At 37.7% G+C, this 22,666-nt stretch overlaps 1 annotated feature.

Moving 5' to 3' along the window:
• Positions 7,606-8,805: an enhancer, noted in NCBI's record as "MED14-independent group 3 enhancer chr16:59100515-59101714 (GRCh37/hg19 assembly coordinates)". NCBI's record gives its function as "activates an origin of replication core promoter dependent on BRD2, BRD4, P300/CBP and CDK7 cofactors, and independent of MED14, by STARR-seq in HCT116 cells {active_cell/tissue: HCT116}" and the evidence as "EXISTENCE:reporter gene assay evidence [ECO:0000049][PMID:35650434]".

A 22,666-nucleotide genomic window follows, 5' to 3' on the forward strand; every position in this document is an offset into this window, starting at 1 on the left:
TACACTGGATCCATTTCATTATGAAAAGGGCAATGTTTTGTCTTTACTGGAATAGGTAATTTGGATATGGATTTGTCTTCCATGATTGCATTGTGGCTTAGAATGTCTTATCTGTCATCATGGTATTCCACCCGGCATTGTTTAAGATCAGGGAACTCACTTCACAGCAAAAGTTCAGCGATGGGCCCATGGCTGTGGAGTTCACTGGTCTTACCATATTTTCTACCATCTGGAAGCAGCTGGCTTGATAGAATGGTGGAATGGTCTTTTGAAGACTCAATTACAGTGCCAGCCAAGTGACAATATCTTGGTTGGCACTGTAATTGGCCAGGGGTGAGGTCCTCCAGGAGACTGTATATGCTCTGAATCAGTGTCTAGTATATGATGCTGTTACTCTTATAGCCGGGGTTCATCATCTAGAAATTAAAGGATGGAAATGGAGTGGCACCACTCACTAGTACCCCTAGTGACCCACTAGCACAATTTTTGCTTCCTATTTCTGTGACTTTGTGCTCTGCTGGCCTAGCCAATTTAGTTCCAGAGGGAGAAATTCTTCCTCCAATAAATACAACAATGATTCAATTGAACCAGAAGTTAAGACTGTGAACCAGCCACTTCGGGCTCTTAATGCCTCCGAGTCAACAGACAAAGGAGGAGTTAAGGGATTGGCTGGGCTGATTGATCCTAGTTGCCAAGGAGGAAATTGGGCTACTACTCTACAGTGGAGGTAAAAAAAAGTGTGGTTTGAAATACAGGAGAGCCTTTAGGGCATCTCTTATTAGTATCATGCTGTGTGATTAAGGTAAATGGAACACTACAACAACCCAATCCAGGTAAGACAACAAATGGCCCAGACCCTTCAGGAATGAAGATTTGGGCTACCCCAGCAGATAAAGAACCAAAACTACCTGAAGTGCTTGCTGAAGGCAAGGAAAATACATAATGGGTAGTGGAAGAAGGTAGATATAAAGACCAGCTATGATCATGTGACTAGTTGCAGAAAGAAGGACTATAATTGTTGTGAATTTTCCTCCTTATTTTGATATGAACATCTGTTGTGTGTGTATTTGTTTTTCTTTTTCTTCTCACTCTTATTCTCTTATCACGTAACATAAGACATATTGACTTTATATATAGTGTTATAGTATTGTTAATTTGACACCATAGTATTTAAGTTATAGGATGGAAAGAAGAAGAGTAATTATCACTTAAGAACTTTACCTCTTCTTTTGGGAAATGAGTTAATACATTCTGGTAAGCAGGATAGTTGTATCATGTTAGGTGGAATTATGACCTTATTATTGTCTTTATCTGGAGATTAATTGTGGCTTAAGGGAATTTGTGTGAATGCCGAGTTGATGAGGTGGACTTGAGAAAGCTGATTGCATATTTCAACTTGAATGAATCAGGGAATGCACAGATATCTGGTTAAACATTCTTTCTGGCTATGTTCATGAGGATATATCTGGATGAGATGAGTGTTTGAACCAGTGGACTCAGTAAAGTAGATTACCCTCCCCAGTGTGAGTTGTCACCATCTAACCTGTTGAGAGCCTGAACAGACAAAAAGGTGGAGGAAGGAGGAGCTTGCCTTTTTTTTTTTTTTTTTTTTTTTTTTTTTTTTGCCTCACTGCTTGAGCTGGAACATCTCATCTTTTCCTGCTCTTAGAATTGGATTTTTGCTCATTTTTTTGTTTTTATTTTTTCTTTTTCACATAATTTTTCTTTTTTCTTTCATTATGTTTCATTATTTGGTTGTATCACAATTAGTCTAATATCTCCGGTATTTTGGCGGGCACATACTTTTCTGAGATTCTTCCTACAAAACCAGAAGGCATCTACAAATGGTAACACTGTGAACTGTTTCCTTTCATTTGCTTTTTAAAATTTCTGCTTTTATTTTAGATTTAGGAAGTGCAGGTGCAGGTTTATTACAAGGGTATATTGCATGATGCTGAGGTTTGGACTTCTATTGATCCTGTTGTCCAAATAGTGAATGCAGTACCCCAGAGGTAGTTTCTCAACTCTTACACCCTTCCTTCCCTTCCTCCTTTGGAATCCCCACTCAGAGTGGGATTTATACCATTGGCTCACCTGGTTCTCAGGCCTTCAGATTCAGATTGAATTTCACCACTGGACTTTTCTGGGTCTCCAGCTTGCAGATGGCAGATCTGGGACTTTTCTGTCTCCATAATTACATGAGCCAATTCCTCATAATACATTTTCTTATATATATTTATATATGATATTTATTATATTATTTATATATGACAGGATATATACATATATATGTGTGCGTGTGTGTGTGTGTGTACAGATGCATGTTTTCTATTGGTTCTGTTTCTCTGAGAACCCTGACTAATAAAAATCTGTTATCATCTTTGTTATAGACACTAAGTATTTTGTTCATTTGGGCCTCTTTGGTCATAAGGTACAAAGCAATCTAACAAAAATATATTGCCCCTCAGAAAAGAATTTATATTAGGAGTTTACTGAGGTGTGCACCAGTTTAACTGGCCTCAGGAAGACCTGGAGCCCAGGACACAAACGGCCGCATGTTTTGAACCTAGCTCTTTTAAATTTTGGCTAGAATAATAGAGTAAATAATAGGGCAGAGTACTGTGTATCTGGCTGATGTTTTCTTCTCAATACCTCTCTGTGCTATCCCCAGCCCTTCATCTCCTGCTAACACACTTTTTGTGCCAACATTTAGATTTCAATTGGGTTACAGCAATAACCTTGAAAGGGAGGCAGTGACCATAGCAGTTCACAGTATTACCATTTGTAGATGCATTCTGGTTTCATAGGAGGTAAGAATCTCAGTAAATTACATGCCCCCAAAATACCAGAGAGGTTAGACTAATTATGGTACAACCAAATAATGAAACATAATGGGCCCTTCAAAATCATGGATGGAGAATTCAAAATGACATAGGAAAATGTTGATGATATAATTTCAGCAAAAATTGAAGGGCAAGAAACTGCATAACCTGTATGATTCCAATTACATTAAAAATGAAGACATCCACCTGAAAAATGAATATAAGCTTAATCATGATTATATGTAGACTGTAGATTATAGATGATTCATAGTTCCCTCTGAATATCTTCCAAGATTTCTGTGGGGGAACATCTATTAATTTTTATAAAAATAAAATCTAAAAGCAAAAAGTATAAATATGAATCTATTAAATAAGTGTAAATTTTGATTATGAGGACTACAAAACTTAACATATGTGAAAGTCTTAAAAGAGTGACTAGCCCACAGTAGGTGCTCAGTAAATTCCCTTTTCTTTTAAAATTTTTTCTGTTCAGTACTGAGCCTTTATATGAAAGAATCCATCTAGGATACTGCATACAAAGGCCAAATTGACATGGAATAAAATTTAAGCCAATCAAATAAGAATGAAATGTGTCATAGAGAGGAAAAAACATTTTATGGGTTGGAGTAGCCTCTGAGGTGACTTTTAAACTCCAGGTTTTCTTTGATTCCGTAATCTACTCCAGTATAGTTCCATTAAATGTAGCATAATAAAGGGAATAAAATTTACATCTAAATTCACAATAGTGTATGTGTTTACATGTTCTCCAGGCTAATTGCCATTTCTGAACATCATTTAATGTGGCAATACTCTTTAAAGCAGAATTATAACTTCACATATAAACTTTTCCCATGAGGTTAAGGCCAAAGTATTAGAGTCTCCCCTGGTCTTAACTTATAGATGTCTAGATTTGAGAGTAAGTAAATGTTCTTCAATGTAAAATACAATTGAAGCCATGTGGTGGAAATATTTCCTCTTCAGTTTTCTTTTTTTCTAAAGTTGTAAACTCTTTGCTAGTTCGTTGTTCTGTCAGGAGTTTCTTTTCTTTTTGCTTTTAATTATCCTTGGCTTTTGTTTAACAGGTCTCATGTATGTATTGGATCTATGCCCCTCTCCTCCACACACCACTTTGCTTTCTTAGCTGTGAATTCGATGCAGTTAAAGTCTGCTTCAATGTACCAATTACCAGCATTTAAGATAAAACCAAGCCACAGATTATACAAATGAAAGGAGAAAAAAAAATAACAGCACTTTGTATAAACAAGGGCAGAGAGACAATTTGTTCTAGTCAAGGATAAATAAAGTTAAACTCTACCCAAATTACCACGTGTCAAGCTAATCAAGGAAATGTTCCTTCAATGCTGTTGTGCAAAAATAATTGAAATGACATTTTATAAAATCTGGCAGAGGTAAATGTTTTTTAAAGCAGGGCTGCAAACTTTCAGATATTTCAGCTCACCCTAAGAGCTATTTGTATTGTGTGCTCGACTGAAATAATTGGAGAGCATAGCTTCAAGATGGGTTTTTTCTGCTTGAGAGAATCAGGGCCATCTCTTGGGGTTCGAAAGTAAACCCAGGTATGTTAAAGGGACCTCCCAAATCCCTGAGGGTATCCTCATGAGAATCACTCAGTTACGTGTTTTTGTTTTTTGGTTGTTTGTTTCTATCCCTTCATATTATCCTTCAACGTGCTCTTTGTGAAACCCATTTACCTGCTGTGTTTTCTTGCATATTGTACATGAAATCTTGGTAATAAATCAACTTTCTTGAAAGAGTTTGTTCAAGTCTTATTCAGAAATTAATTTTGACTTTTATTGGGGCAGTTATCAAGTAGAAAGACTAGAAAAGGTGAATAACATATTCATTCTTTTTGTTCCTCATTCTATTCTTTTCTGAGGTCAATATTGCTTAATGTTATAAAATGAAAGTTCTACAAATCACAATTGCATAACTGTCAGGCACCTTATTAAATTTCATTCAATCCCATATCAGTTCTTAAGGGACCATCACTATCTTCCAATTTACACAAAAATTGAATAAAAACTGATCAAAAATTTATGGGAATGAAAAGTCATCCTAAATTTGATCTACTATTGCTGGAGAGAAAACTAGGCCAAGAAGTTTAGCCTATTAGGCAGAGGGGAGCCATGAACGGCTTGTGAACAGAGGAGTGACATGATTAAATCTGGCAGTGACATACAAAATTGACTCTTTGATCATTGCTTACACTTTTTTTTCTTTATTGTAAAGGCATAAAAGGTATTGTAACAAGGCAAAGCATTCAGACTTGGGAAGTTAAATCCCGGTGCAGACATTGTTCACAAAATATTCACGGAGTCTTTTATATTTTCTAGGCATCCCTGGAGTTGAGTAACTAGTTCTGGCTGCTGGTCTCCAGGTGACATGTGTCACGTTTGAGCTAAGGTAGGAAAGAGCTAATGTGTCTCCTCCATCCCTTTCTCCCACTCACTGGTAGCATTGGAGGCCAATGGTTGAGTTACAGGGTCAGGAGATTGAAGCTGCTGGTAGCAACCAGAAGAAGTAGAGTTTTCCCGGAACAATGTCCAACAAGAAAGATACAGCCATTCTGGAGATCAATTTGGCAGTTAGTAGTGAAATTAAGAATGACATGATTATGGATTAGCAATCCCCACTTCTGGTTATTTGCCTTGTTAAAAAATATCATACAGGTCTATTAAAAAGAAGTGTCCAAGATCATCAGATTTCCCCTTCTTCCCCTGCTGACATGCTTTTTGTGCTGAACTTTAGATACCACTTGCGGTACAGTGTATTTATGGTAATGAACAATTTGAGGTGATCTATGTGTTCATTTCTGGAAAAATAAGTAATATAATCAGTAAGCTAGATACATATAGAAAAATGGATAGATTTTAAATATACCGTATAGCATAGATTTTATTATTTGTATAAATTTACGGGGGACAAGAAAAGTTTTGTTACATGGATATATTGCATAGTGGTGAAGTCTGGACTTTAGTGTAACCATCACCTGAATAATGTATATTGTACCCACTAAGTACCTTCTCATCCAACACCCCCACCCTTCTGAGTCTCCAGTGTGCATCATTCCACACTGTATGTCCATAAATGCATAGTTTTGAATTATAAATTAAGAAACAGCCAAGAACTGTAGAATAGCATCATTTATATAAACTGAAAACACAAAAACACACATGTACAATAACATGATATGTTTTACAAGGTTACATATATGACCAAGATGATGAGCAGGAAAGGGAAAGGAAATGGACACTAAAAATTAAGCAAAAAATATAAATAAAAAGTAAAACAAGAGAAGGGCTTTTCATAGAACAATTGAGAAATATGTTTAACTCAGCTTTGTAAATCTGAGGTGACAACAAAATTAGAAGGAAAAAATAATTACCTGTCCACTTCAAATTCCACCTTGTGATATATCCACGTTAATACAATGGTGAGCTTCGTCCTATGCTGTGTTCACAACACCACCTTAGATTCACCTTTGCATAAGCCTATATTATCTCAATTGTTGGGATATATCTTATTATCAACATGACCTTGGTCAGAGATTCATAAAACATCAGCTGAAAACTTTCTTAGCACCTAGTCTAAATAACCTCATTTTACCTAATGCTGACTCAAATAACTGAAATTACTTTTTCAAACCAAAAGAAAAATTCAAGGGTCAGGGTCAGCATTGAAGGTCAGATCTCCCATATCCCTAATCAGCACTATTTCCATTATGCCCTGTTACACATAAGAATATGGGGAGTGTCTGAAAAGATCAAAATAAACATGATCAATCTAAATACTAGACTAATTCATGTTATACCAATTATGCCTGCCACTTGAAAAATATATTTTAAGATGATTTTTCAAGTACTCAGGCAATATTTACAGAGAAAACTGTGATGGTATTAGAGGCTAAGCTGTTGATTACAAACAGGTGAATTTTCGGCTTTATGTAATTTGCTTAGAGGCAGCAAAATGAGTTGAAGTGGAAACAGTCCACTCTCTGGCCCTATTCATCCTTGTGGAATTTGATCCCTATGTTCAAGTAAAAGAGAGCTCTTTAGCTCTCATTCAGCATTGTCATTATGTTGGTTCAAACAGGAAGTGTAAATAATTAAGAAATTTTAAAAGTGTCCAATTATAAGTGCATTCAAAAACTTTTCTCTCCCTAAAAGGTATATCTACTGGAATTTTAATCAGAGAAGACAGACATTTTAAGTCTTTTTTTTTTAAGACTTTTTTTCCCATAGTATTCAGTCTCTGGAATATCTCCAAGAAAATTTGCATACTATATAGAGATGAGATAGATTCAAAGAGTGGGGAGAATTAACTCCTGAAACTGCTACTTCCCCAAGTCTTTCATTGAAGGTGACTTTGATGATGGCCAGCATATATGTAAGATAAACCATAATGTGTATTGCCTTGGTAAGCCAAATTGAAAATGTATATGCTCTTTAGGGATTTTATATAGGTGTAATCTCCATATTCCCATATAAATTTGCAAATATAGATTATTTTGAGTAACACTAAAGTCTTTATAAACTCATGTCAAAGAATAAAAGAAAAATGATAACAGATAATGAAATCACACGACAACAGATGAATTCGACCTCATAATACTGTTGTCTGTATTCTGTATTTCAGTCTAACCTTTGATCTCGACTTCTATGGTCATATAAGTACCATACATTTTAACTTTTTTATCTGAAATAAATCTTTTTGCTAAGAAGTCCAGAAGTAGAATAAAATCATTTAATATCTTGCTTGATCAAATAATGTTATTTAAATGACAGTTTTTCATGTTGGTACGAGAGTGCGAAGTTGATATTTTTTGTGAGATTGTAAATTGATATAATTCTTATGATCAATTATGTATGTGAGTTAAAAGGTAATTTTTAAAAATCAATTTTATGTCTACCAGCTGTGTGACCTTGAACGTATATTGGTCTTTGTGAGTTGACTTAATTATACAATACCACTACCCCGAGAGCTAACATATATTGTACAATTACTGGGTTAGAATTATACTGAGAGGCTTATACGTCACACTAGAACTGTGCAAGGTAGGTGTGATTAGCTGCTTTGAGTTTCAGTTTATCTGTAATGTAGGGAAAATTAAGTTATCCACAGTCTCATGAGTAGCCAATGGCAAAACCAGGAATTGAAGCCAAGTCTGTTGTGCTATACTTTTGGGCACTTTTCACAGCATACTATACTGCCTAAGGTTTGTCCTTTTCCTCAGCCTTCCGTGTCAAGGACATCCCAACCTTGTGGGCTCTGTGGGCTGACATTGGTGCATTATTTCTTCTTCCTTCCCATATGTGTTTGAGCTTCCTTCTAATGTTACCGAAATGCCAGGGTTTCAGTCTAGATCTTGTTGCTTGCCTCACAGAAAGCCAATTACTGAAACAATGAGTATTGCCAGGAAAGGAGACTTTATTTGGGTGCTGCAGCTGAGGAGAACAGGAGATCAGTCTCACAGCTACCTCCCTGATCAACTACAGTTGTGGGGTTACATAGAGGGTAAGGAATGTAACTAAGTATGGAAAAACAGGAAGTAGAGAGGGGTAAGGAAGTTGAGTTGGCCAACAGGAAGCAGGTGGTCAGTTAGGCAATCGTGGCAGGTGAGAGGTCTGCTATCTCATTGTCCAGATGCAATGATCTGGTGAGTTTCAGTTCCTTGATACTCTCTGGAAGGCCTCATGGTTGGTTTCCTGGGAAAAAGGTCAAGTAAGATAAATGCAAGTTTCAAGCTTTAAGACTAGAAGGGTCAATTCCTATGTTTATTCAAGAAAACAGTAAACATCAGTTCTGTGGGACAATTGGGCTGGTTTCACTAGTATACTAATTTAGGTCAAGGACAACTAGATTTTCATCTATTTTTTTCTCTTTCCTTTTGAGATTTTGGAAGAAACAACAACAAGAACAACAAACCCAACAGTCTTTTCAAAACGCAAATCTGATTATGTTACTATCCCATGGTAAAAGTCATTAAGTGGCTTTTGATTGCTCTCAAATAGTCTAAAATACTTACCAAGGTTTTCAAACTTTGCTTGATCAGACCCCCTGCCATCTGCCTGGGCCCTCCTGCCCCACACGGTACTCTGAACTCTGATGATCCACACATCTTCCATTACAAGTCTTTTACAAGCACTCTCTCTTTCCTTGGAGAGATTTCTCCTACTCTTCACCTATTCACTTTCTTAAGCAAATGTTTTCTCTTATATAGCCAGTCAGTTTGCATGGTTAAATGTTTGAAATTAAAAGCACTGCATTACTTCCTTGCACTGATCTCAGTTCATAACGTTTTCTGTGCATTTGTTGACTATCACACAAAAAATCCACACCACCATTCTATTAATTAGGGTTTTCCAGAGAAACAGAAACAATGGGAACTATATATATCTTTAAAAAACAATTTTATGTCTACCAGTTGTGTGACCTTGAACATATATCACATATAATATATAGAGAGGGGTTTTTATTTATTTATAAATTTCAGTTTCTATTTTAAATATAGGGGGTACATGCATAGGATGGTTACATAAGTATACTGGACCCAGGCAGTGAGCACAGTATCCAATAGGTAGTTTTTCAGCCTATGCTCCCTCCTTCCCTCCCACCTCTGGTAGTTCCCATGTTTATTGTCCCCATGTTTATGTCCATGTGTGCTCAATGTTTAGCTCCCACTTAGAAGCGAAAACATGTGGTATTTGGTTTTCTGTTTCTATTTTAGTTTGTTTAGGATAGTGGCCTCAAGCTCCATCCACGTTGTTGCAAAGCATATGATCCTGTTTTTTTTAAGGCCGCATAGTATTCTATGGTGTACATGGACCACATTTTCTTTATCTAGTCTACCATCGATGGACATCTAGGTTGATTCCATGTCTTTGCTATTGTGAATAGTGCTGCAATGAACATACGCATGCATGTGTCTTTTTGTTAGAACAATTTATTTTCCTTTGGGTATATACCTAGTGTTGGGATCGTTGGGTGAAATAATGGCTTTAAGTTCTTTGATAAATCTCCAAACTGCTTTTCACAGTAGCTGGAATAATTTACACTCCCACCAATAGTGTATAAACATTCCCTTTTCTCTGCAACCTTGCCAGTATCTGTTGTTTATTGGCTTTTGTATAGTAGCCATTCTGACTGGTATGAGATAGTATCTCATTGTGCTTTTGATTTGCATTTCTATGAGGGCCTTTACTAGGGAAATTGGCTGATGTGATTATGGAGGCTAAGAAGTTTCATGTGGTCAACCACAGAGAGATCCAGGGAATCATGGTCCAGTCTGAGTCCAAAGTCCTGAGAACCAGGGGGCCACTGGTGCAAGTCCCAGAGTCCAAAGTCTGGAGAAACTGTAGTCCTTATGTCCAAGGGTAGGAGAAGGTGAATGTCCCAGCTCCAGAAGAGAGGTCAAATTTACCTTTCTTGTGCATTTTGTTTCATTGGGGCACTCAGTCAGTTGGATAGTGCCCACCCACTTGGATGACGGCAGGTCTTCCTTACTCAGTCCACTGATTTAAATGTCAGTGTCTTCCAGAAACCCCTCACAGACACATCTAGAAATAATGCTTTACTAGCTATCTGGGTATCTCTTAATTCAGTGAAATTGACACCTAACATTAACTGTGACAACCATTTTTGAGAGATGGAGAAGACGTCTGCATCTGGTCAAGATAGAATGGCAAGGACCAGATTTACCTACCCTTTCATCTGCAATAACCAAAAAAACTGGCAAATGTATGAAAAATGGCTTTGAAGATATTGAACTTCAGGCAATAAAAGAGAGTGATTCCTGAGAGGTGGTAAACAAATGAGATGAGCCCCATCTCATAGAACAACCAGTGCCACTAGAGATCACAAAACACAAAACCGGAGAAGAGAAAGTTGCACAAAGAAAGCACTCCAGAGCTGGGTGCAGTGGCTCACGCCTGTAATCCCAGCACTTTTGGAGGCCGAGGTGGGCGGATCACTTGAGGTCAGGAGTTTGAGACCAACCTGGTCAACATGGGAAAACCCTCGTCTCTACTAAAAATACAAATACTAGCCGTATGTGGTGGCACATACCTGTGGTCCCAGCTACTTGGGAGGCTGAAGCGTGAGAATTGCTTGAACCCAGGAGTTGGAGGTTGCAGTGAGCCGAGATTGTGCCAGAGCACTCCAGCCTGGGCAACAGAGTGAAACTCTTGTCTCAAAAAAGATAGCACTCCAAAGATCTGCAGAGGGTTCTGATCAAGTATTCAGCTGAGTACTGATTAGTGTATGCATGTGAGAAAACTATGTGATATTAGAGAAAGAACTACCTGAAAAGAAGAGAGGTAATAGCACTTCCTGATCACACAGGGTCAGGAATAGTGTCTGTTTCCACTACCAGACTGGAAAAGCACATGATCCATGAAGTATTTAGTAGAGTGCACAAAAGATTCTTGCATCAGTGGTGGGTAATAATTATCCCTGGACTGAGCATTGCTTCAGTACCATCTAATGATTATCAATGGCAAGATCCCAAAAGATCGAACTCCTTTGCAAGTAACTTAACTGCATTCAAGAACAAAGCTCAAGAATATTTGTAGGGAACACAAAAATATCCAGCATCCGAGGTAAACTCTCAATGTCTGGTATTCGACAAATACTTATGAGGCTGGCAAAGAATCACAAAAATACTATTTATAATGAGGAGAGAATCAATCAATAAAAAGCAACTCAGAACTGATATTATATATATCAGAATTATCAGACAAGAACATTAAAATAATTATTATAATTGTATTATATATGTCCTCAAGTTAATTAGACATACAGAAGACATAAAACAGATCCAGTTGAACATCTGGGGAGAAAACTGTGATGAATGAGATGAAAAATACACTGGAAGGGATTAACAGCATATTAGACATTGTAGAAGAAAAGATTAGTAAACATGAAGACATAACAGTAGAAACTAAAAAAATAAAAAATGAAACAGATAAAACAATGAAAAATGAACAGGACATCAGTGAGCTATAGGAAAACTTCAAGTAGCCTAATATGTGAATACGTGTATGACTGGAGTCCCTGAAGGGAGAAGAGGAGGTTGTTAGAACAAATAATGAACAATTTTTTCCCCAAATTTGTTGAAAATTATAAGCTTACACTAAAGGGACTTCAAGCAAGCATAAGAACTATTAAGAATACTATGGCGGGGCATGGTGGCTCACGCCTGTAATCCCAGCACTTTGGGAGGCCGAGGCGGGCAGATCATGAGGTCAGGAGATCCAGACCATCCTGGCTAACACGGTGAAACGCTGTCTCTACTGAAAATACAAAAAAATTAGCCGGGCTTGGTGGCGGGTGCCTGTAGTCCCAGCTACTCAGGAGGCTGAGGCAGGAGAATGGCATGAACCCGGGAGGCGGAGCTTGCAGTGAGCCGAGATCATGCCACTGCACTCCAGCCTGGGTGACAGAGCGAGACACTGTCTCAAAAAAAAAAAAAAAAAAAAATACTACACCATCATATGTTTTATTCAAATTACTCAACACCAGTAATAAAGAGAAAATCTTTATTACTGGAGGAATGATGAGGGTGAAAGCACATTTTTTTTTTTAATTTTTATTTTAAGCTCTGGGGTACATTTGCAGGATGTGCAGGTTTGTTACATAGGTAAACATGTGCCATGGTGGTTTGCTGCACCTGTCAACCCATCACCTAGGTATTCAGCCCAGCATCCATTAGCTATTTTTCCTAATGAAAGCACATTTCTTATCTGAAACAATGAAAGTGAGGAAATGGTGAAGCAACATCTTTAAAATACTGAAAGAAAAGAAGTCAACCTAGAATTTTATATTCAGTAAGAATATTTAAAATGAAGGCACGTAGGCTTTTTTCAGACATCCAAAAATGGAAAGAATTGATCACTAAGAGACTCTCACTACAGAAATGTTAAAGGAATTCCTTCAGGCTAAAGAAAAATGATACCAGATGGGAATATGGCCCTAGACAAAAGAAGGAAGAGTACTGGAAATTGTGACTACATAAATAAATATAGAATTTAAAACTTCATTTTTAAATATCTTTAAAAGATCAATGACCATTCAAACAAAAACAGCCACATAGTGTGGGTTTATAAAATATGTAAAAGATATGACAACACTAGCACAAGGGGGAAGCAGATAACTCAGAGTATGATATTATAAAAATATTATACTGTATAGGAGGTGCTATAGGGTCACTTTAGGGTAGAATGTAATGAATTAAAAATGAATACTATAAACCTTAAAGCAACCACTAAAACTACTAAAATAAAAAGACAAAGAATTATGGGCAGTAAACCAACAAAGGAGATAAAATGGACTTATAAAAATACTCAATTTATCCAAAAGAAGGTAGAAGAAAAGGAAAAAAAGAAACATGAAAGATAAAACTAATGGAAAACAGGGTGGAGCCAAGATGGCCGAATAGAAACAGCTCCAGTCTACAGCTCCCAGTGAGAGCGACACAGAAGATCGGTGATTTCTGCATTTCCAACTGAGGTACTGGGTTGATCTCACAGAGGAGTGCCGGACAGTGGGTGCAGGACAGTGGGTGCAGCGCACCATGCGTGAGCTGAAGCAGGGTGAGGCATTGCCTCACCCGGGAAGTGCAAGGGATCAGGGAATTCCCTTTCCTAGTCAAAGAAAGGGGTGACAGATGGCACCTGGAAAATCGGGTCACTCGCACCCTAATACTGCACTTTTCCAACAGGCTTCACAAATGGCACACCAGGAGATTATATCCCGCACATGGCTTGGAGGGTCCTACGCCCACGGAGCCTTGCTCATTACTAGCACAGCAGTCTGAGATCAAACTGCAAGGCAGCAGCGAGCCTGGGGAAGGGGCACCTGCCATTGCTGAGGCTTGAGTAGGTAAACAAAGCGGCCGGGAAGCTCGAACCCGGTGGAGCCCACCACAACTCAAGGAGGCCTGCCTGCCTCTGTAGGCTCCACCTCTGGGGGCAAGGCACAGGACAAACAAAAGACAGCAATAACCTCTGCAGACTTAAATGTCCCTGTCTGACAGCTTTGAAGAGAGTAGTGGTTCTCCCAGCATGCAGCTTGAGATCTGAGAACAGGCAGACTGCCTCCTCAAGGAGGTCCCTGACCCCCAAGTAGCCTAACTGGGAGGCATCCCCCAGTAGGGGCAGACTGACACCTCACACGGCCGGGTACTCCTCTGAGACAAGACTTCCAGAGGAATGATAAGGCAGCAGCATTTGCGGTTCACCAATGTCCGCTGTTCTGCAGCCACTGCTGCTGATACCCGGGCAAACAGGGTCTGGAGTGGACCTCCAGTAAACTCTAAAAGACCTGCAGCTGAGGGTCCTGACTGTTAGAAGCAAAACTAACAGAAAGGACATTCACACCAAAACCCCATCTGTACATCACCATCATCAAAGACCAAAGGTAGATAAAACCACAAAGATGGGGAAAAAACAGAGCAGAAAAACTGCAATCTCTAAAAATCAGAGCGCCTCTCCTCCTCCAAAGGAACACAGCTCCTCACCAGCAACGGAACAAAGCTGGATGGAGAATGACTTTGACGAGTTGAGAGAGGAAGGCTTCAGAAGATCAAACTACTCTGAGCTACAGGAGGAAGTTTGAACCAATGGCAAAGAAGTTAAAAACTTTGAAAAAAAATCAGACAAATGGATAACTGGAATAATCAATGCAGAGAAGTCCTTAAAGGACCTGATGGAGCTGAAAACCACGGCATGAGAACTACGTGACAAATGCACAAGCCTCAGTAACCGATGCGATAAACTGGGAGAAAGGGTATCAGCGATGGGAGATGAAATGAATGAAATGAAGCATGAAGAGAAGTTTAGAGCAAAAAGAATAAAAAGAAATGAACAAAGGCTCCAAGAAATACGGGACTATGTGAAAAGACCAAATCTACGTCTGATTGGTGTAACTGAAAGTGACGGGGAGAATGGAACCAAGTTGGAAAACACTGCAGGATATCATCCAGGAGAACTTCCCCAATCTAGCAAGGCAGGCCAACATTCAAATTCAGGAAATACAGAGAACACCACAAAGATACTCCTCGAGAAGAGCAACTCCAAGACACATAATTGTCAGATTCACCAAGGTTGAAATGAAGGAAAAAATGTTAAGGGCAGCCAGAGAGAAAGGTCGGGTTACCCACAAGGGGAAGCCCATCAGAATAACAGCTGATCTCTCGGCAGAAACTCTACAAGCCAGAAGAGAGTGGGGGCCAATATTCAACATTCTTAAAGAAAAGAATTTTCAACCCAGAATTTCATATGCAGCCAAACTAAGCTTCATAAGTGAAGGAGAAATAAAATCCTTTACAGACAAGCAAATGCTGAGAGATTTTGTCACCACCAGGCCTGCCCTAAAAGAGCTCCTGAAGGAAGTGCTAAACATGGAAAGGAACAACCGGTACCAGCCGCTGCAAAATCATGCCAAATTGTAAGGACCATCAATGCTAGAAAGAAACTGCATCAACTAATGAGCAAAATAACCAGCTAACATCATAATGACAGGATCAAATTCACACATAACAATACTAACCTTAAATGTAAATGGACTAAATGCTCCAATTAAAAGGCACAGGCTGGCAAATTGGATAAAGAGTCAGGACCCCTTAGTGTGCTGTATTCAGGAAACCCGTCGCATGTGCAGAGACACACATAGGCTCAAAATAAAGGGATGGAGGAAGATCTACCAAGCCAATGGAAAACAAAAAAAGGCAGGGGTTGCAATCCTAGTCTCTGATAAAACAGACTTAAACCAACAAAGATCAAAAGAGACAAAGAAGGCCATTACGTAATGGTAAAGGGATCAATTCTACAAGAACAGCTAACTATCCTAAATATATATGCACCCAATACAGGAGCACCCGGATTCATAAAGCAAGGCCTTAGTGACCTACAAAGACACTTAGACTCCCACACAATAATAATGGGAGACTTTAACACCCCACTGTCAACATTAGACAGATCCACCAGACAGAAAGTTAACAAGGATACCCAGGAATTGAACTCAGCTCTGCACCAAGCGGACCTAATAGACATCTACAGAACTCTCCACCCCAAATCAACAGAATATACATTCTTTTCAGCACCACACCACACCTATTCCAAAATTGACCACATAGTTGGAAGTAAAGCACTCCTCAGCAAATGTAAAAGAATAGAAATTATAACAAACTGTCTGTCAGACCACAGTGCAATCAAACTAGAACTCAGGATTAAGAAACTCACTCAAAACCACTCAACTACATGGAAACTGAACAACCTGCTCCTGAATGACTACGGGGTACATAACAAAATGAAGGCAGAAATAAAGATGTTCTTTGAAACCAACGAGAACAAAGACACAACATACCAGAATCTCTAGGGCAAATTCAAAGCAGTGTGTAGAGGGAAATTTATAGCACTAAATGCCCACAAGAGAAAGCAGGAAAGATCTAAAATTGACACCCTAACATCACAATTAAAAGAACTAGAGAAGCAAGAGCAAACACATTCAAAAGCTAGCAGAAGGGAAGAAATAACTAAGATCAGAGCAGAACTGAAGGAAATAGAGACACAAAAAAACCCTTCAAAAAATCAATGAATCCAGGAGCTGGATTTTTGAAAAGATCAACAAAATTGATAGACCACTAGCAAGACTAATAAAGAAGAAAAGAGAGAAGAATCAAATAGACACAATAAAAAATGACAAAGGGGATATCACCAACGATCCCACAGAAATACAAACTACCATCAGAGAATACCATAAACACCTCTATGCAAATAAACTAGAAAATCTAGAAGACATGGATACATTCCTCGACACATACACTCTCCCAAGACTAAACCAGGAAGAAGTTGAATCTCTGAATAGACGAATAACAGGCTCTGAAATTGAGGCAATAATTAATAGCTTACCAACTGAAAAAAGTCCAGGACCAGATGGATTCACAGCCGATTTCTACCAGAGGTAGAAGGAGGAGCTGATACCATTCCTTCTGAAACTATTCCAATCAATCGAAAAAGATGGAATCCTCCCTAACTCATTTTATGAGGCCAGCATCATCCTGACACCAAAGCCTGGCAGAGACACAACAAAAAAAGAGAATTTTAGACCAATATCCTTCATGAACATTGATGCAAAAATCCTCAATAAAATACCAGCAAACTGAATCCAGCAGCAGATCCAAAAGCTTATCCACCATGATCAAGTGGGCTTCATCCCTGGGATGCAAGGCTGGTTCAACATGTGAAAATCAATAAACATAATCCATCATATAAACAGAACTAAAGACAAAAACCACATGATTATCTCAATAGATGCAGAAAAGGCCTTTGACAAAATTCAACAACCCTTCGTGCTAAAAGCTCTCAATAAATTAGGTATTGATGGGATGTATCTCAAAATAATGAGAGCTATCTATGACATACCCACAGCCAATATCATACTGAATGGACAAGAACTGGAAGCATTCCCTTTGAAAACTGGCACAAGACAGGGATGCCCTCTCTCACCACTCCTATTCAACATAGTGTTGGAAGTTCTGTCCAGGGCAGTCAGGCAGGAGAAGGGAATAAAGGGCATTCAATTAGGAAAAGAGGGAGTCAAATTGTCCTTGTTTGCAGATGACATGATTGTATATCTAGAAAACCCCATCACCTCAGCCCCAAATCTCCTTAAACTGATAAGCAACTTAAGCAAAGCCTCAGGATACAAAATCAATGTGCAAAAATCACAAGCATTCTTATACACCAATAACAAACAAACAGAGAGCGAAATCATGAGTGAATTCCCATTCACAATTGCTTCAAAGAGAATAAAATACCTAGGAATCCAACTTACAAGGGATGTGAAGGACCTCTTCAAGGAGAACTACAAACCACTGCTCAATGAAATAAAAGAGGATACAAACAAATGGAGGAACATTCCATGCTCATGGGTAGGAAGAATCAATATCGTGAAAATGGCCTCACTGCCCAAGGTAATTTATAGAATCAACGCCATCCCCATCAAGCTACCAATGACTTTCTTCACAGAATTGGAAATAACTACTTTAAAGTTCATATGGAACAAAAAAAGAGCCCACATTGCCAAGTCAATCCTAAGCCAAAAGAACAAAGCTGGAGGCATCACACTACCTGACTTCAAACTATACTACAAGGCTACAGTAACCAAAACAGTGTGGTACTGGTACCAAAACAGAGATATAGACCAATAGAACAGAACAGAGCCTTCAGAAATAATGCCGCATATCTAGAACTATCTGATCTTTGACAAACCTGACAAAAAGAAGAAATGGGGAAAGGATTCCCTATTTAATAAATGATGCTGGAAATACTGGCTAGCCATATGTAGAAAGCTGAAACTGGATCCCTTCCTTACACCTTATACAAAAATTAATTCAAGATGGATTAAAGACTTAAATGTTAGACCTAAAACCATAAAAACCCTAGCAGAAAACCTAGGCATTACCATTCAGGACATAGGCATGGGCAAGGACTTCATGTCTAAAACACCAAAAGCAATGGCAACAAAAGCCAAAATTGACAAATGGGATCTAATTAAACTAAAGAGCTTCTGCACAGCAAAAGTAACCACCATCAGAGTGAACAGGCAACCTACAGAATGGGAGAAAATTTTTGCAACCTACTCATCTGACAAAGGGCTAATATCCAGAATCTACAATGAACTCAAACAAATTTACAACAAAAAAACAAACAACCCCATCAACAAGTGGGCAAAGGATATGAACAGACACTTCTCAAAAGAAGACATTTATGCAGCCAAAAAACACATGAAAAAATGCTCACCATCACTGGCCATCAGAGAAATGCAAATCAAAACCACAATGAGATACCATCTCACACCAGTTAGAATGGCAATCATTAGAAAGTCAGGAAACAACAGGTGCTGGAGAGGATGTGGAGAAATAGGAACACTTTTACAGTGTTGGTGGGACTGTAAACTAGTTCAACCATTGTGGAAGTCGGTGTGGCGATTCCTCAGGGATCTAGAACGAGAAATACCATTTGACCCAGCCATCCCATTACTGGGTATATACCCAAAGGACTATAAATCATGCTGCTATAAAGACACATGCACACGTATGTTTATTGCGGCACTATTCACAATAGCAAAGACTTGGAACCAACCCAGATGTCCAAGAATGATAGACTGGATTAAGAAAATGTGTCACATATACACCATGGAATACTATGCAGCCATAAAAAATGATGAGTTCATGTCCTTTGTAGGGACATGGATGAAGCTGGAAACCATCATTCTCAGCAAACTATCGCAAGGACAAAAAACCAAACACTGCATGTTCTGACTCATTGGTGGGAATTGAACAATGAGAACCCATGGACACAGGAAGGGGAATATCACACACCAGGGACTGTTGTGGGGTGGGGGGAGCAGGGAGGGATAGCATTAGGAGATATACCTAATGGCAAATGACCAGTTAATGGGTGCAGCACACCAACATGGCACATGTATCCATATGTTAGAAACCTGCACGTTGTGCACATGTACCCTAAAACTTAAAGTATATATATTAAAAAAAGGAAAACAAATAGTAATACTGAAAGCTTAACATATAAATAATTACATTAAATGTAAATACTTTAAATGTCTCAAGTGAAAATCGAGGATTCAAAAAAACTTTTAGGTTCAGGGGTACATGTGCTGGTTTGTTACATAGATAAACTTGTGTCACAGGAGTTTGTTGTACAGATTATTTCACTACCCAGGTATTAAGCTCACTACCAAATAGTCATTTTTTCTGCTCCTCTGTCTCTTCCCACCCTCTGCCCTCAAGTAGATCCCACTGTCTGTTGTTTCCTTCTTTGTGTTCATAAGTTCTCAATATTTAGCTCTCACTTATAAGTGAGAACATGCAGTATTTGGTTTTCTGTTCCTGCATTAGTTTGCTAAGGATAATGGCCTCCATCTCCATTCCATGTACCTGCAAAGGATGTGATCTTGTTCTTTTTTACGGACAAGCAGGGATTCTTTGATTAAGCAGCAAGACAGTGTGTATGCTGTCTACAAGAAATGCACTTAGGCTGGGTGCAGTGGCTCATGCCTGTAATCCTAGCATTTTGGGAGGCCGAGGTGGGTGGATCCCCTGAGGTCACGAGTTCAAGACCAGCTTGGCCAACATGGTGAAACCCCATCTCTACTAAAAATACGAAAAATATTAGCCAGGCATGGTGGCATGCACCTACCAGCTTCTTGGGAGGCTGAGGCAGGAGAAACACTGGAATCTGGGGGACGGAATTTGCAGTGAGCTGAGATTGCATCACTGCAGCCTGGGCACAGAGTGAGATTCTGTCTCCAAAAAAAAAAAAAAAAACAAAAACCAAAAAACAAAAAAACAAAAAAACAGAAAAAGAAATGCATTTTAAATATAAAGAAGTGAATAGGTTAATAGTAAAAGAATGAAAAAATATATCTTGCTTATACTAACCATAAAAATCAGGAGTGATTATATATAATCAGACAAAGCAGCTTTCAGAGAAAAGATTCTTACTAGGGAAAAAGATCATTTCGTAATGATAAATGGATCAGTTTATCAAGAAGACAACAATTCTTAGTCTTCATGCACCTAATAATAGGTCTTCAACATGCATAGCACAAGAAATGGATAGTACTGCAAGTATAGACAGACAAATCCACAATTTTAGTCATAGATACTAATACCGCTCAAATAGTTGATAGGATAATAGACAGAAATTTGGTAAAGAAGACTAAAAAATATTAAGATAAAAATTTTACACAAATGTATTTATAGATTCAATGCATTCTCAATAGAAGTTCCAGCAGACTTTCTGTGTGTGTGTGTGTGCGTGTATATGTATAAATAGACAAATTGATTCTAAAATTCATGTGGAAATGTATAGGACCTGGAATAGCCCAGACTGCTTTGAAAAAAAAGTAAAGTTGGAGGACTTGCATGACCTGATTTAAGACAATGTAATGCTGTATCATCAAGATAGCGTAGAGATTGTGGTTATGGTTTCCTGGTTGTATACTTACGTCAAAACTAATCACATTGTATACTTTAAGTGTGTGCAGTCTATTGTATATCAATTATACCTCAATCAAACTGTTAAAAATGATTATTGCTAAGAAATAATGAATTTCAAGTAATATCAATAATTCAAGAAAAAAAACACGAGAAAGTGACAGAGCTACACTTCTACTCTTAGCACAAGCAAGGTTAAAAACAACAAGCCAATAAAGTCAAACACTAAGTAGGCTGAAAAAAAATAAATTGATATGTAGATTGAAGACACAGTTATTTTTTTGAAGACACAGTTATTAATATATCACATTCTACTTGTTTTGCCTTGATATATTGATTAAAGCTTGTATGAAATGACCACCTGTTTCAAGATATTTAAAAATTATACATCCAAAACACCAAGTGAATCCTACGCAATTGATAAATGAGTATCAAGACTTATTTTGCAAGATAATCAGGCTCTCCTCCCCTCGACACCCCATTTAAAGATTTTTGTGCTTTGAGGGATAGCTTGTTTAGCTATGTTGGCCACTAAAACCTAGTCTTGAAGTGAGCTGGACTAAGAATCAGACTTAGATTAAAATCACAGTGATATTATCTTTAGTGATAGTAACAAGGATACTTGTTCTATCAATTCATAAAATAATTGTTTTAAAAATATGGCTTATTTCATCCTTATTTTTGAAAATCTCTTAATGTATTTATCATGTATATTATGTGAGTAGAGTTGTATATACATAAAATTTATAAGTGAGTATGCATATTCTAAGGAAGAATCCAAAGTAAAAACAAGTATCTTGGGAAAATTCATGAAGCATGCAAACTGTCCAAGTGAATGCTGCTGAATTCAGAGAATTTATGAGTGTGTTTCTTGCAGTTCACCCTGCAGGGCTAGTTCAAGTTTGAGCTTAATAATATAGGAACTTAATAGCCCTGAAAAATACAGCATTTGGACATGTTCTATTTTGTGTTTTATAGAAATGTTGTTGAGATGCTTGACCTACAATACAACTATTTATACTAAATCCGAAAAGACTTCAAAGTGAGAAAAATACTGGAAATTTTATCTAGTCCTACTGAATGGTGAGGGACATGCAGAATGTGGAATTAAGATCATGCCTGTATCTTTCCAATCAGTATGATTTATTAGGAGAAGCAAAAGCTTGAAAAGAGTCAAAGAACAATAGCCACACACCCAGAGCTTACTAAAACCTCCCTAAATCAGTTAAATAGCAAATTTATTGCAGTTTTTGTTGTGATTGAGGAAATATTTTGATTCATTATTTAAAAAAATCAAAATACACAACTGTATGATAATTATGTTTTCAAGTGTGTGTGCTAAATATTTTGATATCTGCCTTTCTAGTTTTATTTTTAAACAAACAGCAGTTGCCTTTGACATATGGAATTATATATTATTATGATTATGCTTTTAAAATCTATATACTTTATGAAAATTTTATGTGATCGTGTGTTTTCTTAAATATCAGAAAAATGTTCACAGATAAACATATAAGGGAAACTATATATCATTTCATATTTTTCACTTTTTATAAAATAAATATATTTTATTCAATATGATTTTAATTTTATAACTTTTCTGAGTTTTTTAATATAAAAATTCAGAAATTAGAAAGTCTCTTGCTAACTTTGTATACTTGATCTTTGATTTCAAATATAGAAACTAACATTATAGGACATTGATAGTGAGATGTATAATATATTCTTTGCATCTCTACAGGTAAGTTGTTTCAATTGCCATATTTTCCTCATTATAAAACATTTTCATATGTAATATAGAAGG

The sequence above is a fragment of the Homo sapiens genome, chromosome 16 (assembly GCF_000001405.40).
Source record: "Homo sapiens chromosome 16, GRCh38.p14 Primary Assembly".
Classification (NCBI taxonomy): Eukaryota; Metazoa; Chordata; class Mammalia; order Primates; family Hominidae; genus Homo; species Homo sapiens.